The sequence below is a fragment of the Homo sapiens genome, chromosome 1 (assembly GCF_000001405.40).
Source record: "Homo sapiens chromosome 1, GRCh38.p14 Primary Assembly".
Lineage (NCBI taxonomy): Eukaryota > Metazoa > Chordata > Mammalia > Primates > Hominidae > Homo > Homo sapiens.
In genome coordinates this window covers 84,179,014-84,198,140 of record NC_000001.11, presented here as the reverse complement: position 1 = coordinate 84,198,140, position 19,127 = coordinate 84,179,014, and the positions used below count along the sequence as shown (strand labels likewise).

General features: G+C 32.5%; 1 protein-coding gene across 36 annotated transcripts in view; it reads right to left on the bottom strand.

Annotated features, from left to right (window-relative positions):
• Window positions 1-19,127, bottom strand: part of PRKACB (protein kinase cAMP-activated catalytic subunit beta) — a 160,420-nt gene that overhangs the window by 40,358 nt on the left and 100,935 nt on the right. For 34 of the 36 annotated variants that reach the window (XR_007061945.1, NM_002731.4, NM_001375576.1 and 31 more), the window contains 6 exons: window positions 18,903-18,964; window positions 15,813-15,941; window positions 14,006-14,104; window positions 12,959-13,041; window positions 1,399-1,525; window positions 317-412 (listed from right to left, as the gene is read on the bottom strand). Coding sequence is in view for 35 of the 36 variants with exons in the window: in NM_002731.4 (NP_002722.1) it covers window positions 317-412; window positions 1,399-1,525; window positions 12,959-13,041; window positions 14,006-14,104; window positions 15,813-15,941; window positions 18,903-18,964 (596 nt within the window). In the remaining variant the exon portion in view is untranslated. Of the gene's footprint in view, window positions 1-316; window positions 413-1,398; window positions 1,526-12,958; window positions 13,042-14,005; window positions 14,105-15,812; window positions 15,942-16,412; window positions 16,505-18,902; window positions 18,965-19,127 lie in introns of those variants that run through there. The other 2 variants (NM_001242862.3, NM_001242861.3) reach the window with 2 other exon arrangements.

Here is a 19,127-nt window from a genome sequence, read left to right as displayed (position 1 = left end):
GAGCAAGTCTTCTCTACCCTTCCGTTACTAGGAATAATTAAGAAAAGACTATGTTTTTGGTTGCAAAACATGGATCTAGAGGTCATATTTATTCATATTATATCTCTAAGACCCAGAGTTAAAATTGACAGAGGTTACAGGATTAGTGGTAGATGCTAAATAATAATTCTTTAGTAATCATGCACAAATAGATTTAAATTCATAACTTAGATCAAATTAAAAATGTAAAATTAGATCAATAAACTGTTTTTACAAAAGTCCATAGGGATGCATGTCTCATATTTCTACTTCTTATGTGTTGATATTATGAATATACCTTGCTGAGAATTATTTCTGGAGCCAAATACTCTGGAGTTCCACATAATGTCCAAGTTCTGCCTTTAACTCTTTTGGCAAACCCAAAGTCTGTGACCTATAAAAGAAAAAAAGAATACTAGTGAAAATGTATTACCTCACAATAAATGTATTTATTGCACCTACGTTGAAAGTTTAAAATTCAAATTGAAACTATGAAAGAAATGGAAAAAAAATTAAGTCCACGTAATTGAAATTCATTCATGAATATCTAGTGAATGAAAGTTTAAACAATCCAAGTTGGAAATCCTTCCTCAACTCAAAGAAAAGGAACAAATTAATAACAACAAAACTCTTTTCAGTCATTATTATAAGATCCTAGACCCAAGGAATAAAAAAGTGAAAATAAAAGGTAAAAATAAATAGCATTAATAAAAATGAAACAATGCTAAATGTCTGCCTTACCCCAATGTGTCCTCTGCCATTAGTTGCACCATCAGAAGTGTAAAAACGTCAATGGGAGAATCTATCAATAATTGTGTAAAAAGAAATGCTCCCACTTTATTAGTAGTAGAAGTGGAAAGAAAACGTTGCTACGAGTTCAGTATTGGTAGTCAGGGATTCTTTGGCAGTTATATTGTAGTCGTAAAGGGCATGGACTCTGGGATCAGACTGCCTAGGTTCAAATTCTGACTCTACCATTTATTGGCTAAATGACCTTGCTATGTCTTAGTTTTGTTAATCTTAAAATGAAGATAACAATGGTATTTCCACTTCATAGGTTTATCAGGATTAAAGAAATAATACATGTAAAACAAGTGGAATATGCCTGGCACTAATAACTGCTCATAGATTTAGCTATTAATATCTCCTTATGCAAGAGGCTATACTCAGTTCACAACTATAGATTAATGGAGATATAAACAAGTTCCTTTCATAACAGGATTTTTGCTTCTCTGTAATAGCAGCAAAACTCTGAGCTCTACTTAAACTATTAGGAGAAAGTGTCTTCTTCAAAAAAAATTCCAAGTTGGGGTTACATACATACAATGTCTTGCCTAGTATTTTCTCATATACAGTACACATAATGTGTTAAAGTCATACCTGGATATAGCCTTGATGGTCAATTAAGAGATTTTCAGGTTTTAGATCTCTGTAGATGAGGTCTAGTGAATGGAGGTACTCGAATGTTAGCACTATCTGAGCTGCATAGAACCGTGCATGGGGCTCACTGCAAAGAAATAAAACCATTGATTTTCTGTAAAAATGAGTTAATACATTCTAATTAGTAGATTATGCATAAAAACTAATATGAAGTAGAGGTACTTTGGGAACAAAAAGTATTTTTTTAAAAAGTATGTAAAGAACCTTGTTACTTTTCAAATATTTATTAAATCTCTATATTTTGTTCAAATAACGCTCTGATAAATTTATGGGGAAGCATATGTTGAGGAAAAATATAAACCTAAAATAGTTAGCTCATTGTGAATCATTATTGCCCATATTTAAATATATTGATGTCTTTCTAATTATGTCTGATCTTGAGAATAATTGGAAAGCAAATGTGCCAAATGGAGTGTCTATCGGGGCCACTGCTATAGTTAACAGGCTCCATCTACTTTTCTCACAAATTTCAAGTGTTTATAGAATTTCCCTATGTAGAAGCTCTTTAGCTGCATTTATCTGCAGATTAATGCCATTTTACCCATTTTGTAATAGTTCCTGTTACAAAAATGACATACGCTCGTTATGGAAAAATATCATAAAATATTGATGAAGAATAATGAATACTCATAAACCTATTCAGAAACCATAGATACAATCTTGGCATCAGAATTTCCAAATCTTTTACTATGCTTGTTTACATAGATTCACAGACATAAGTATAATCTCTATGTTAGTGTAAATACGTACAGTTCTTTTTTTTTTTTTTTGAGACACAGTCTTGCTCTGTTGCCCAGGCTGGAGTGCAGTGGCACAATCTTGGCTCACTGCAAACTCCGCCTCCTGGGTTCAAGCGATTCTTCTGCCTCAGCTTCCTGAGTAGCTGGGATTACAAGCGCCCACCACCATGCCCGGCTAATTTTTGTATTTTCAGTAGAGACGGGGTTTCACCATGTTGGCCAGGCTGGTCTCGAATACCTGACCTCAAATGATCCACCCGCCTCAGCCTCCCAAAGTGCTGGGATTACAGGAGTCAGCCACCGCACCCAGCTAGTTCTTTTATGTATATATTAGATTAATAGATCAGTGTAATTTTGATGTCAGAATCTGAAAAATCCAAAAGGATGTACCAATTTTCTGAGTTTCTAATTTATCTTCTAATGTATTACTTGAATTCTACTAATCTGCCTGATAAATAACAATGACTTTCAGATTTGTTTCCTCAGTGAACAACCTTAACTATGAATAGGATTTCCCTCAAGATGGTTGGTATGAATTTGATCTGGTAGCAAGAGAAATACAAATTCCAACAAAAGACTTTATGTGCTGCCTTTTTTTGCTTGTCACTGCATTTCCCAAGTGCTCAGTAAATATTTGTTGAAAGAATGCATATGTAAAGAAAAATGCTTTTGGGGAGCAAAATTTTATAATACCCTTCCAGTTTCAGCTTCATCCCAACACTGTCAATCCACATTGTATGCCAAATGACAAGGAATGAGGAGAACATTGTAAGCAGAGATTAAAATAATCATTCTGGTCATTGCAACATTTATGCTTAAACTGGGAAACATCTGACCTGGGAGGTCCCCTCTTACTTTATCCATGCATCTGTAAACATAAAATGCACGTTTACATGCATCTGTAAATGTAAAATGTCATTAATATGATTACTTTTTACTTATAAAATATTAATTTCCATATGCTGGTGTTTAATTGGAGGAACACATACATTACATAGATCTATAATAAAATTCTTTTTTTTTCTTACTCTGTCACCAGGCTGGAGTGCTGTAGCATGATCACTGCAGCCTCAAACTCTTGGGCTCATGCAATCTTCCCACCTCAGTCTACCGAGTAGCTGGGACTACAGTTGCACACCACCATGCCCAGCTAATTTTTTGTATTTGTATGTGTGTGTGTGTGGAGGGTTTGGTTTGCCATGTTGCCCAGGCTGGTTTTGAATTCCTGAGCTCAAGTGATCCACCTGCCTGAGCCTCCAAAAGTCCTGGGATTACAGGCTTACATGAGCCACTGTGCTCAACCTATAATCGAATTCTTGAAAGGTGAAAGTAAAATGTTCCAAGTGCAAAGTGTTATTGGGTATTTCTACTTAATATTTAATTGAATGTAGGAAGACAATGGTAAGGGCTAATGCTGTAGCAGTTTTAAGTCCAGACAGCTTTAAGTAGAGAATTATAATGCCTCATTTGATTCTGATTAAAGCCATGCTAAACAATAACTCATATTCCTATTGCCTCAAAACTTCTAAGATGGACACTGGCAATTGTTCAAGTGTATATGTAGTACTTGTGAAAGATGAGATAAGGCAAGTGTCTCAGTGTGAATTCCTTCAATCAACTTGCTATCCTTTTAGTACCAAGTCAAGTATTAAAGAGTCAATATCAAAGAGTACTAAGACTGTGAGGAGTTGCAAAGAAAAGAAGTTACCAATTATATAAAGTTAACAAAAACTTTTTTGAGAACAGGTTCAGGTGTGGTACTTTAGTGTAAACTTTAAATAACCATAAGGCAATATGAGGATTCTGCTTGAACAAGGGGCAGTAGGAGAGAGAGGACGATAGGAGAGGAAAGAAAATTCTCAAAGATAAGCAGAAGCTACTTTGCACAGTGCCTGACACTATATTAATTATATTAGTTGCCCTGTGCATAGTAAGTCAATAAATGAATCTTGGCTTAGGCCTCGGGTAATTAAAATGACTCCAATGTTTGCTCATTACTTGATATCATCTTGTGATATTCTGAGTCTGCCACCATCATTTTATGAATCAAATTACCATCATCAGTCCTGTTTCAGTTCATACTTGTGTTTTAGTTATGCCAGTATTTAATTATGAAAGTTAATTGTGTAAGTTGGGTCATTTTTGTCATACCCAACTAAATCAGAGTTGATGGGCCAGGGCAATAAAGCACTCAGAGCACCCAGCACCTGCTCCAAGAATTAAATTTTCCACATGCCTAGCTGCTAAAGCTTCCTGCTGTAACCTGAAGCCAGTTTTATCTAATAGCTACTGAAACAACCTGCTGTGACTCTAAGACTAGTTTGAACCCACCACCATCACTCACCAATCACAGCTTGCCAGCTCCCCAAAACTTTGCTAGTGCCAATGAACTTTGTCCCAAAACGTAAAACTTCTCCTTTTTATAAAACTTTCAACCTTCTTTTTATTCTTCAGTCACACCAAAGACCACCTGGTCTGTGTGGATACCTTGCATTGTAATTCTTGCTTCCCAAATAAAATATCAAATCTAGAGATTCATCTCTATATTTTTATTTTGACTTTGATATACTTGGTGTCAGAAGTGGGATCCTAAAGCTGACATACTTCAGGGAGAATCACTGGCCCTGGGAACTACAGCATGAAGTACCCCCATTGGAGCCCTTTCAGTCCCGCTGCTTCTGGGGAGTCCCCTCTTTTCCCCTTAGTGAGTCTCTTTTGGACTAAACTCTTAATTTTGGTTGAGTTCTGTTTTATTTGGGATTTGGCTGGGAAGGGGTCTTTCTCTTTCCCACTCCTGTTTGAGAGGCGTCTTTTGCCTCCTGGTTAACTGATCTCCTGTTGGGGAGGGTTATTTTCCCCCTGTTGACTTCAGGTGTAAGGTTTAGACCTCAGTTTTGAGGTTTGGATGAGGAGACTTTCCCCTTCATTTGGAGAAGGCTTATTGTTCTTCCTGGTAAGGACATACTTTATTTTCTGTTGGTGCTTGTGTTTATTTGGCCTTGTGTATTCAGCACCTGTGTTTAGTTGGCTCTTACGTATTTGGCATTAAACCGAATCACCTAAATACATTTAGTTAAAAATAGGCTCTCAAAGTTTGAAGGCATGCCAAGATATTTTCTGAGACTCCAGCTGGTAACATGTTCAAACGTTATAGGAATCATTCAAACAGTCTGTTGTTCTTACAACAAAACTAAAAGACCATGGTGACAAAATCATATACTCCAAATAAGACTCATATCTCAACTGATATCTTAAGGCTAATAAAAATTTCAGGACTCAGAGATTGCCTTGTTACAAAATACTGTCTCAAAGCTAGCGGAGACAAGTTCCCTTCTGGAGCTTTTCCCTCCACGTTTACAATTCCTCTTCTTTATCCTAATCTAGACTAAACTCTTTTTTCCCAAAAATCCTCAGCTATTTTGGCATATTATTTAATTAAAAACACTTGAAAATCATCAGATAAAAAAGAAAATCATTGTGATTTTCATGCTGTTTTGTTTTTAAGATAAAATTCCAATGTAAAGGACACTGTCCCTATACTAAAAGAAATGGCAACAATCTTACCTTCAGGGACAAAGAATTGAGACAAGAAAATATTGTACAGACCTAATTAGAATAACTCCTATCATTTGGGTCTCCTCACATAATTCATTCACATTTTCTCAGTTAACAGTTCTTTGTCTATTCCAGTATATTGCTAACTGACTCAAACTACTCTACCTATAATTTAGTTCACATACTTCATAATATTACCTATTAAAAAAAGCTTAAAGTTTAGCCTCATCCCATTTTGTTAGAAAAATAATTTGGATCTAACTCTTTTTATAAACTGATGTGCTTATTGTTTTACTATCTCATGATTAAAGTTCTAAAATAAAAGCTGTAATATTTTTATTTATACATTAGTATAGGTGTTTAGATGCTTTTATGCATATGTACATATATTGTATGCTGTGTCTATATAATAATATCTGACATAGTTGTCTAGAAATCCCTTAAAGAATTCTATTTGGATAAATGGGTGCTTATATAAAATATTTTAGTTCACATGACTTAAGTACATCTTTGATAAATTAATTGGTTTTTTAATTATTTATTTTTTAAAATTTATATTTTAGATTCAGAGAGTACATGTGCAGGTTTGCTACATGGGCATATTGGATGATCCTGAGGTTTGGGGTATGAATGTTCCTATCATCCAGGTGGTGAGCATAGCACCCACTGGGTAATTTTTCAGCCCATATTCTCCTCCCTCCCTCTCCTCTCTAGTAGTCCCTAGTGTCTACTGTTTCCATCTTTATGTCCACGTACACTCAACGTTTAGCTCCCACTTAAAAGTAAAAACATGAAGTATTTGGATTTTTGTTCCTGTGTTAATTCACTTAGGATAATGACCTCCAGCAGCTTCTATGTTGCTGCAAAGGACATGATTTCATTCTTTTTATGGATGCATACTATTCCATGGTGTATATATACCACATTTAACTTGAAGGCAGCTTCAGAGAAATGTCAGGTCACTTACAGAGGGAATTCCATCAGGTGCATCAGCAGGGGACCTCTCAGCTTATACCTTACAATCCAAAAGAGATGGGGGCCTATTTTCAGCATCCTCAAAGAAAAAAAATTCCATCTAAGAATTTAATATCCCACTAAATTAAGCTGCACAAGTGAAGGAGAAATAAAATCTTTCTCAGACACCAAGCAAACACTAAAGGAATTTCATTATCACCAGATCAGCCTTACAAGTGGTCCTTAAGGGAGTCCTAAACATGGAAATGAAAGATCAATATCTGCTACCACAAAAACACACTTAAGCTCATAGCCCACAGACAATATAAAGCAATTACACAATCAAGTCTGCAAAGCAATCAGCTGGTAACATAATAACAGGATCAAAATCTCACATATCACTACTAACCCTGAATGTAAATGGTCTAAATGACCCACTTAAAAGGCAGCTGGATAAAAAGAAAAGTCCCAACTGTCTGCTATCTTCAAGAGACCCATCTCACCTATAAGGACACTCACAAGCTCAAAGTAAAGGGATGGAGAAAGAACTACCATGGAAATGGAAAACAAAAAAGAATAGGAGTCTATTCTTACATACAATAAAACAGAACTTAAATGATCAGGAAAGACAAAGAAGGGCATTACATAAAGATCAAGGGTTCAATTCAACAAGACTTAACTATACTAAAAAGTTACTAACAAAATAAAATGAGAAATGTCTTCAAAATTGTCAACACAGATTTTTGCCTAGATTTCCTGGTCAGAGAGTTTTATATTTGCCTCTGATAAATTTCTTAAGGTCATGAAGCTATAAACCCAGACTAAAACAAAATGATCTTTGTATATGCTATTATTTGATAAATAAGATTTAATATTACTGATTTAATAAACGTGTATCTTCTGAGTTATTGAAAGAATATTCATGTATCTAACTTTAAGTTCTTATTTAGGTAAACATTTGATATTAACAGGCTATAAAATTGGCTAATAAAAATAACTTAAAATAACGACTCTGCCTAATATCTCAATTTTCATAAGTAATCCAGGGATAATTAATAAAAATGAATAAATTAGGTGAATGTTAATTAAATAAACATTTATAAATCAATGTCTCATGTAATTTAAAGTCTTACAGTTATGTTATATTAAATTAAATAATAAGATACTTATTAGATGTCTGGGCCATAACAAATAAGTTTAAAAACTAAAACAAATTGCTAAATAAATATAAATCCCTTATTGGGTTCTTAAGTTCTATAAAAAGTTTAAGTATATTGAGGTCTAGTAGTCAAAATATGAATGTAAGAAAAAAATATGTTGTATGAAAAGTATATTAGGTGGTAAATATTTTTCCTAAAGTAAAATGATTGGCTGTTCCAAAAACGGAGGAAGAAGAAAAGAAAAATTATAAGATTAAGACTGGGGGTTTGGAAAAATGAAAGGATGGACCTTATGAAAAAAGTTTTATGTGTAAATAGTTAGGGAAAGAAATTGGAAAGGAAAATTGTTTACATATTTTTCTAAAAATTAATGATTGGTGTCAAGGGTGCACTGACAAAGGACCAGAATCTTGCTCTCTATATTTAAACAAAACTTTCTTGAAGTATTGATCTGCTCTCAATAATACTGCAAAAGGTTGTGATTTTTAATTATAAAATCTGTTTCTTTGACAGCCATCTTCCAAAGTGCAATTTCTATTTCTGCCACATTTCTTCCTGAGATCTAATTAATTTCCCTAGTTTTAGGTTTGAAATGCTGTCCTCTTCATTAAAAATAGTAATTCCATTTCTTGAGGTAAAGTTTTCCTTTTGAAATTTATATTTCAGAAGTTCGGCTTTTGCTGTGTCACACTACACATGATTTGAAGGTCATACATCCCCTTCTCTTTCTTGAAAGGTATATCTTTTTGCTTGGCTGGGTTGATAACTCCCTCCTTCAACCTTTTTCCTCAACTCCTAGAACTTTTTTTTTTTTTTCAGTTTGAACTTTGTTATGGCCTGATGCAGAAACGTTTATCTTAAAGGCCTAGAAAAACGAAGTTTTCTTTCAGTATAATTTGAATCTGTATTCTTGGCTCTTCTTGGTATGTCTGTATTATTTCATGTAACCAGGAAATTTCTCATGCTGTTACTGAGAGCCATGTATTTCCCTGCTCAAGATAGTCCTCTTCTTGTTCATATTTTTCTATAACACAGTGTACACTCAATAACCCTGGACACATTCTTCCTGTGTCTGATTAAATTCAAGTACTCAATCAACTTTCAGATGATTGGTAATTTTTTTAATGGAAAGCTCTAAATGGGAAAAAGAAATAATGAGCATACTGCAGAAGATTTTTCTTTACCATTTTGGTGATTTGTCTAAAAAACTAGATTTTATATTTTATCAAGATAATATCCTATGTTGTCTTTATCAGGTTTTTCATTACTCAGAAAAACTGAGCTTTAAAAATAATAAAAGTTTTCACATTCATATAACTTTCTGTATTACATCTGATGTCTTTTGATTATCACTCTGGTTAAATAAATGACTATTATTTTACAGTGACCTGTTACTCCGTTTTGACCAAGGGTTTTAAGTCTTTTAAGATGTTTAACAAACTTCCCAAAAATCAAATCCTAAATTAAATGTTCTTAATCTAGAATTAGCTTTGGGATTTTCCAGCTGGGCCCTTGGAAAACATTTGAAGACACAGATCTCATCTTGTAGACGTATTAAATAATTAGATTTATTTTTAAATTATATAAGAGATTGTATAAATGATGTGATACTAGATCTTTTAGTTGCATTTATGGCTATGTTGTTCATATGAATGTTTCAAAAATTATATAAATTCAGAGAAATTAACGTTATTCATAATTCTGGTTATTGTCTTAAAATGCTAGATAAAATAGAAATAACTAATTTTACTTGTTAATTGTAAACTTTCATCAGATTTTTACCCATGGCTATTCTAGATTTTTGTCATCCAGAGTTAATATTTTGAATTCTCAAAATTATTTACAATCAGATTCATAGAAAAGACCCCAACAAGTACCCTTAAATACAGGTTTTTAATAACTTTAAGATCAATAGACTAAATAAAAATTTCCAGAACCCTAATAAAAAAAGATGAGTATATGAAAATACTAATTAAGATCAAGCAGAACAAAAATTACATGAAATTAAATAATTGATAAAAATAATGTTTTCATAACTTTCATTTAAAACATTGTTACATTGTTAGTTCTTAAATATTTTGGTTTCCAGATTTAAAAAAACTTATCTCTTTAGCTATTTATAATTTATAGCAATTTGGTAAAGTATATTTTTGTAAAAAAAGATAAAAGCATTTGCTTTTTTTCTCCTTAATTCAAAAATTAGTTGTAAGTACTTTTATGGGAATATGACTATTTGCACAGGTCCAGTAAAAATCTGCTCTCTCTTTATAGCAGAATATGAAAACACTGATTATATTACTAAGGCTCTAACTGAACTATCGTATTTAAAAAGTGCATAAAATGCCTGACTTCAAGGGTTTCTCAGCATTACAATGAGTAAATAAAAACTGTTACTTCCTGGCAGGACCAGGAACCTCAAGACTGTAAGGAAAATCTAAGACTGCCTTGGTTCGGCTTCCTTGCCTCAAGAGGTTTTTAAATCCAAGATTCCTATGTAATCAATGTAGAGAAAAAAGTTTTTTCTAAAGAATAACTATAATATACCTGTTATTAGACTGTAAGTCTGTACATTATTTTTGAGTCTTGTTATCTACCTATAGACTAGACAAGGTCCTAAATTCTTCTAGGTTCCTCCAATCGAACTTTCTTCCATAAAATTACTAAAATGAGAACCGCTCTGTTCCTGAAGTCCTGTTAGCTGAAACTATATAAATTTTAAGAAACAAGTCTCATGCCTGATGTATGGGCCACACAGAAAGTTCATCAAACTGCCCAAAGCCATAGCCAGAGACATTTACACTGTAAACAAAGCCAAGAAAGTTGATGTTTTCCATGGTGTGAACAGCTTTTCTCAAAACACTAGAACAAGACTCCATATTGTAATGAAACTCTTACCCCTCTTAATGCCTGCTTTTTCACTTAACCAAATAATATTGTAATTTAAAATTCACAATCAGTAACTGCTATAGGTACTGGTGAGACCTGCTAAAGCCATTGACAAAGCCTGACTTAAGAAATTCTTTCAGTTCATCTAGTCACAACATCGACAATATCCTTAACACAATTTTTTGTTTAATTTGTGCTGGTGGTCCCTCTTGCAAAGTTTGGCATTCTCTGCTTTAGTTCAACCCAGTCATAAAATGTTAGTCAATGGCTATAGCAGGTCTCACCAGTTTCCCCTGGTCCTTTGATTTCTTTAGTTTTTTGCCCTTAGGCCTGGGCTTTAGTTCAAAAGCACTGCACAAATACATTTTACTATATTGTTAATTTTTTTGTACTATCATTTGTAAGCTTTGTTCTTAGTGCCTATCTAATCTTTGTAAAGGCAGCTGTCCCAACAGAATAACGTTAGCCCAACACTTAAAGATGACTGCTAATACCTATGGAAGTGATAAGTGGGAACTCGATGCTGGCTGGACTCCAGACAAAAATCTACTTTGAGAAAAATTTTCCTTCTGGCCTCCTCGTTACTTGAATGTGGCCCAGGTCCCTACATAGACACCCCCCAACAGATAACTTCTCTCATATGTGGGACAGAGACAACCAGAACAAGTCCATCCGAGCACCAAGGAATAATTAAGCCTAACTTCAAGATGGTTGACAAGCAATGCTTTCAGAGAAAGATCTTGATCAAAAGGGAAAAATGTGAAAGCTGATTATACAAATTAGTCATTCTCATCATACCTAACTAAATCAGAGTCGAGGGGCCAGGGAATAACGCACTCAGGGCACACAGCACCTGCTCCAAGAATTAAGGCCAGGTGTGGTAGCTCACACCTGTAATCCCAGCACTTTGGGAGGCCAAGGAGGGTGGATCACTTGAGATCAGGAGTTCGAGACCAGCCTGGCCAACACGGTGAAAACCTGTGTCTACCAAAAATAGAAAAATTAGCCGGATGTGGTGGCGGACACCTCTAGTCCCAGCTACTCGGGTGGCTGAGGCAAGAGAATCACTGGAACCCAGGAGGCAGAGGTTGCAGTAAGTCGAAATGGTGCCGCTGTACTCCAGCCTGGGCAACAGAGGGAGACTCAGTCTCAAAAAAAAAACCAAAAACAAACAAAAAAATTATATTTTCCACAAGTCTAGTTGCTGAAACTGCCTATTGTAACCTGAAACCAGTTTTCTCTAACAGCTACTGAGACAACCTACTGCGACTCTTAGACGAGTCTGACCCACCACCATCACTCACCAATCAGAGCTTGCCAGCTCCCCAAAACTTAACTAGTGCTAGTAAACTTTGTTTCAAAACAAATAAACATAAAATTTCTTTTTATAAAACCTCCAACCTTTTCTTTGTTTTCTAGACACATTGAAGACCACCTAGTCTGTGTATATGCCTCAAACTGCAATTCTTGCTTCCTCAATAAAATGTTGAATTTAGAGATTTGTCTCTACATTTTTATTTTGACTTCAACACACTATACTGAATGAAGCTGTACCTGTTTTTTATTTTAGCTTTATTCTATTAGTGATTATTAATGAACGGTAGAAGCTTATAAACTATTAAGTACAGGTAAAACCATCAGATTCTATAACCTATTTTAATAACTCTGAGATCTTATTAGTCATAACCTGATGAGGTACAAACTCCCGTTAAATTATGTGTATATTTTAAAAACTAAACTTAGCAAGAACTTTAAGGAGAATTAAATTTGTGAAAAACAAACTTTTATAATCTTATTACCATAATACTATTATTATTATTTCTCTATATATTTATTTTCCATCTTCATCCTTAAAACAATCCTCTGTCCTGGAGTTGTATTATTAATCTTTGTTTAATAAATATTGATATTTTAAAATTCAATTAATTTTTCCATTTTCTGAAAACTCTTCAAGTAGTGGACCCTCACAATATCTAGCAGTAGTATAACATTTAAATTGGCTTCAAAGTCCTTTTTTTATATTAAATTTTTATATTCTTTATATTAAAACTTGTGTATGATGTGGCCTCTTTGTTTCCACCTAATGCTTCATATGGCCAAAATATTAATCAAACAAAATAAGTTTTTGGCATTGGCATCAACTTAAAAATCTGGTTAAACAACACAAGCATATAAAGATTTGAAGAAAGCAAAACCATTAGTTACCTGAACCTTCCAATTCTTCTTAGATGTGAAAACATTTCACCCCCAGGGACATATTCCATAACCATGTATAAATTAGAATTATCCTATGAACAAATAAAAAGGAAATACAATTATTCAACTTAGGTCAAAATTATTTTAATATTATATAATGCTGAATTAGAAAAATTTAAAATCTCTCTGACAGATTAATAACCTTGAGAAATAAAGAATAAATGGAACATGCTCTAGCTTTTCTATACAGAGACACTCATATTTTTCCCCTCCTAGTTATTTTTGCCACAAACTAGTCTGGGACTTTTGCTCTTCCTTTTCTTGCAGAGAACATCTAGTTCTCAAACAATTAAATACTCAGGCAATGAAGTAACGTTATAATATATGCAAAAGAATAACAAAGGTAAAAAACAATTTAAAAAGTTAATAAGAATATTTACATTTTATGTATAAAAGATTAATGGTTTTAATATTTTAAATACATAGGTCTTCATTTAATTTAAAGAATAAAGGAGAAAAAAGATTAAAATGTTTCATATGATTCAATATTGCAGAGAGATGCCAGTATCATTCCAAAGAGCTCAAAAGTGACCAATTTAAATAATAAATGTGGTACAATTTTTCAGACATTTGAATAGTGGAACAAAAATTTTGCTTTGTATAAGTGAAAAGACTAGAACTCAAATTACTAAGTAAAAGAAGATGAGATAGTGGCAAAAAGGGCTTAATCAAAGTAGAAAATGTGTTGGGTGTATGAATTTGCATAAGAATTGTTATTAAGATATCCCTATGGTTTTTGATAAATTGAAATATTTCTTTTTGTAATACCATCTCATGAGTATCACCTTTGAACAATTTCCCCAGGGAGAATCAAAACCTTTTCAAACGTTACCTAAGTTATAAGCACAATAGGATTTAATTACACAAACTCTAGAGGTATTCGTTTTGTTTATTCATATTCTTCAGGCTTATCATCTGGTTTAGAATCCATTTATAGTTTCATCTTAAAAAAAATTTAGGTTGAAAATATCTTATTTAGATATTACTAAAATTTACCTTAAAAGCATACTCCAGTCGAACAAGGAAAGGAAAATTCACTGCCTGTAATATTCTTTTCTCATTCAAAGTATGCTCTATTTGCTTCAGTTTAACAACCTGTAATTGAGAGATAAATATCTCTTAATGTATTTAAGCAAAATTAAAAAGTTATCATTTAAAAAAATGTTTTCCATATAGTAATAAACTTGGATAAGCAAAATTGTTAGAATTGGATAAGGAAGATAATAACAATTACCAACTTTTAGGTTGGTGCATAAGTAATTGCGGTTTTTGCCATTACTTTTAATAATAGGATTCAAATGAAAACCTAATAGAGGATTTAAAACTTGGTCTTAGGAAGGTCAATTATGGTTTCAATTAAGAAGTGAGAGCTAAGTAGGAATAAGAAACAAACTCATAAGAAATTACTTTAAAAATTAGTTATGTCAATTATGCTTAAATAAATATATAATTACTTAAGGTAATTTAAAAATGAATGTGAAAATACTAAGGTCCTAATGACTTAAAGTCCTCTATAAAAGCTGGCTCAAATCTCTGCAATAAGTAGATAGTGATTTTAAATACTTCAGAAGATGAATAAGAAAATTAAAAATGAAGAGAAAGTCCATAACTGAAAAATAGTGAGTAAAAATGAACAATTTTCATTTTATAATATCTAAATAAATATAGGTATAAATTCTAAAAATTTATTTTATATTGCCATAGAAGAGGACACACAAAATATTGGGGAAAAAACTATCTTTATAACAAAAACTATCTTTGTATCCTAGGTCATTTAGACTTAAGCTTCCTCTAGATTTTCTATTTAATAGAAGGGGAAAGTAATTTATCTTGACTTCACGAAGACTGTGATTCTATTCCATATGTGATTCTATTTTGAATTTAAGAAGTGGTGACTTTAGCAAGACATATAAATAATTTTCTTGTATATGTGTAAATCATTAGAAGGTGGCATTCTTTCTTGCTGGAGTCTAATGGTCAATGTGAGGATAGTCACAGAAGTCAAGAAGTTAAATATAAATAACAAAAGTAATTAAAGATACCAGCCAGGTATTAATATATAAAATTAGGAGTATACTGATAATATTGAGCAAATAAATTGAGTAGGAGTCAGATTTGTGTTTTAATCTAGGCCTTTTATTTAACTAACTTTCTGACTTGAGATGATTTCAAATCTTTGGGCCTCAGGTTTTCAAAATTTGTAACATGAAGTGGTTGGATCACTACTGTACACATTTTAACTTCTGTAATAGTTACAAAACAAATTAGTCCATAATTGTCACAATAAATTATAGTTGTCCATCAGTATCCCTGGGGGTTGGTTCCAGGACCTACAGCAGAAACCAAAATGCCCAGGTGCTCAAGTCCCTTATATAAAATGACAGAGGCTTTGCATAAAGCCTATACACACTGTCCATATACTTTAAATCATCTCTAGATTACTTATAATACCTGATATATTGTAAATGCTATGTAAATAGTTGTTACACTGTATTGTTTAGGGAATAATAACAAGAAACAAAAGTCTGTACATGTTAGGTATAGATGTAATTTTTTTCCCAAATATCTTCAATCTGTGATTGGTTAAATCCATGGACGTGGAACCCATAGATATGGAAGGGCTGACTGTATACTAACTATGTATAATATAGTTACAATAAAAATTTAGTTACAATAAAAATTAAATTTAATAATAAAATTATTTGAAGCTGTCAATGGTAAGTCATTATACTGAATCTGTTTAATAGTCTAGCTGATAAAACTAAAGTTTACCCTGAAGGTAAATAACAACAAATACACTCACCTTCTGCTTATCTAAGATCTTCATGGCATAATACTGTTCAGTGGCTTTGTGTTTTACCAACATGACTCTTCCAAATGAACCTGTTCCAAGGGTTTTTTTCCTTTCAAAATCTTCAAGTCCGGCATTATTCTATATGTAAATACATAAATAAAATTTAAAATTCTCGTAAAAACACTATGGGAATTATAAATGCTTTAATAATACATAATCATAATGGATAATCCCATTTATAACTATCCATTTAAATGCAATACAAAAAAGCTATTGAGATTCCAGTTTATTGGTTCTATTTTTCCCTTTGAATAAGAAAGTATTTAATATCTGAGGAGAGAATGTATTGGAAAACAGAGCATAATAGTAATAGGAGGAAATAAGAGCCTCAGCTGAAATATTAAAGATTATATTCCAGTATGCATTCCTAGTATTGGACTTTAATCTTACTACTGAACTTCCAATAAATTAGTTTCATATTTTAATAATTACAAACTGACCAGAGGCATACTGACAAAGAGTCATAGAAGCCATACAGACTTAATGCACTTGCAAATAACTGTAATGAATAGATAAACTGAGGGATCAGAGCTCTTTCACTAAAGTTACCTGTGAAGAAATCAGTCTTGCTTCATTTCTGTCTTTATATAAGCTTATAGAACTAGATAGTAGCAGCATGAGAGAGCCTAGTGGCTTTCTCTCTTTATATTATAAAAACACAGTATTATCTAAAACAACAACAATAAGGAAAGAAGAGTTCCTCATTCTACAAAGAACCAAAAGCCAGAATCCCAGAACAATAATCAGACTCTTTTTTTCTTGAATAGATGTTTTGTTATAAGGAAACATCTTTGTTTGGCTTTGACTACAGCACAGAAGCAAATAATTGGAGGCATCAATCTATTAAATTTGTTCCTGCCACAACAAAATGAAAATTATTAGGGACAAATTATGTGTTAAATGGCAAGAAGTAGTAATTGCTGACCCATTTGTTTAATAGGTTTCATTGCAAAGAACTCCATGAAAATATCAGAAAAATATTCTGAAGGCCCAGTATGTAGTGTTTAGCTTGAAAAAATGTGATGCAGTATGATTCTTTGTCCAGTGAGGAATTTGTATAGGTATTACAGTTCACTGTAGTTGGATTTTATCTGTATTGCAAATCAAACCTTGCCTTTTGAGACCCATTTTAGCTTTCTGTTGGATCATTACAGACAGCAGGCAATTCTGTTTTACTTATAGCTTGTTTTCATCATAGTTTGATTTCACAGCTTAAAATTTAAAATAATTTTAAGTAGTCATAAGATTTTTTTATCAACACAGAAAGCTCTTATAATTCTGACTGAATTAATTTAATTAATATTTAATCTTAGGTTTTATCAACATGGATGGATTAAAATGTTTACCATAGTACCAACCAAATAATGAAAACAAACTTTATTAATAGACAACAGAATATGTGTTTCTGCTCTTTATGCTTTTTTCATTGCTTTTCTTTGTATTATAAAAATATGTTATCTTCCTTACCTCTCTTATTGTTTCATGTTACACAATGTCTAACATTTTGTAATCACAATGTTTAATCTTTGTGGCTATGTTTTAACTTATAGGTCATACTCTAAATCTTGATAGTAATGGCATCTTTAAGAAACATTTACTTAGAATTCTTTAGTGAGAAAATACTTGAAATAAAAACTTTTGAGCTAGGCAGAAAAGACTTTCAAAATTTAATTTTTTTGGTTATAATATCTTTTATTTTTCTTTTATTTTCCATAAGTTATTGGGGTACAGGTGGTATTTGGTTACATGAGTAAGCTCTTTAATGATGATTTGTGAAATTTTGGTGCATCCATTACTTGAGCAGTATACACTGCACCATATTTGTAGTCTTTTATCCCTTGCCTCCCTCCCATTCTCCCCCACCAAGTGCCAAAAGTCCATTATATCATTCTTATGCCTTTGTGTCCTCATAGCTTAGCTCCCACATATCAGTGAGAACATATGATGTTTGGTTTTCCATTCCTGAGTTACTTTCACTTCACTTTGAATAATAGTCTCCAATCTCATCTAGGTCACTGCAAATGTGTTAATTCATTCTTTTTTATGGCTGCATAGTACTCCATCATACATATATATATATATATATATATATATCACAGTTTCTTTATCCATTCGTTGATTGATGGGCATTTGCATTGGTTCCACTATTTTGCAATTGTGAATTGTGCTACTATAAGCATGCGTGTGCAAGTATCTTTTTCAAATAACGACCTCTTTTTTTTTTTTTTTTTGGTCTTTATGTTCTCACTCATAAGTGGGAGTTGAACAATGAGAACACATGGACACAGGGAGGGGAACATCACACACCGGGGCCTGTCGCGGGGTGGGGGGCTAGGGGAGGGATAGCATTAGGAGAAATACCTAATGTAGATGACGGGTTGATGGATGCAGCAACCACCATGGCATATTTATACCTATGTAACAAACCTGCACATTCTGCACATGCAACCCAGAACTTGAAGTATAACAAAATTTAATTTACTATTAAAATTCATTCATTATTTATAACTCCAAAAATATTATTTTTGTAAAGTATAGATGGTTTTTTATATACAGTTTTTAGATCCTAGTTAAGATCTAAAATACTTTAATTATATAGAACATAACCCATCAAAATGATGATAAAAAAGATGCCTGTGTATCAGGGATGTTGTTGATAGCCAAATTCTCTATGACTGAGAATTTTAAACTGTACGTAAGGACTCTTATTTTTGTAATTAATAAAAATTATAAGTATGCTATCAAAGGCATAATTCAAAATTAATATATTTGAAAATATTAAGATTTTATAGCAACTGGAATCAGTATCAAATTTATAATTAGGTATTATACTGGAAATTATTTCCTGCAATTTAGGCATACATTAAGATTATTAATTAATACATCAAAGTATAACTATGGCAAAATTCCCATTTTAAGCTTCTGTTTACTAACACCACATGAAAATTAAAATTTCTAAAGTAATAAATTTCTTAGGCAAGAATCCTGATTTTATTAATACAAGATTTTTAATTTTAGAAAAATCTAAATATTCCTTACCTGAGTTGGATTCTCCCATTTTTTCAAAAAGTCTTCTTTGGCTTTGGCTAGAAACTCTTTCACTGAAAATATACATATAAAAACAAATTTATCTTGTAAGAATATTTATATTCTGTATAAGAATATTTATATTGCATATGGTTTTCTCACTTAAAAAAAGACATGTCATCTATTGTGATAAAATGTATATTTATCACCATGATACATTAAAGAGCTATTTAGTAT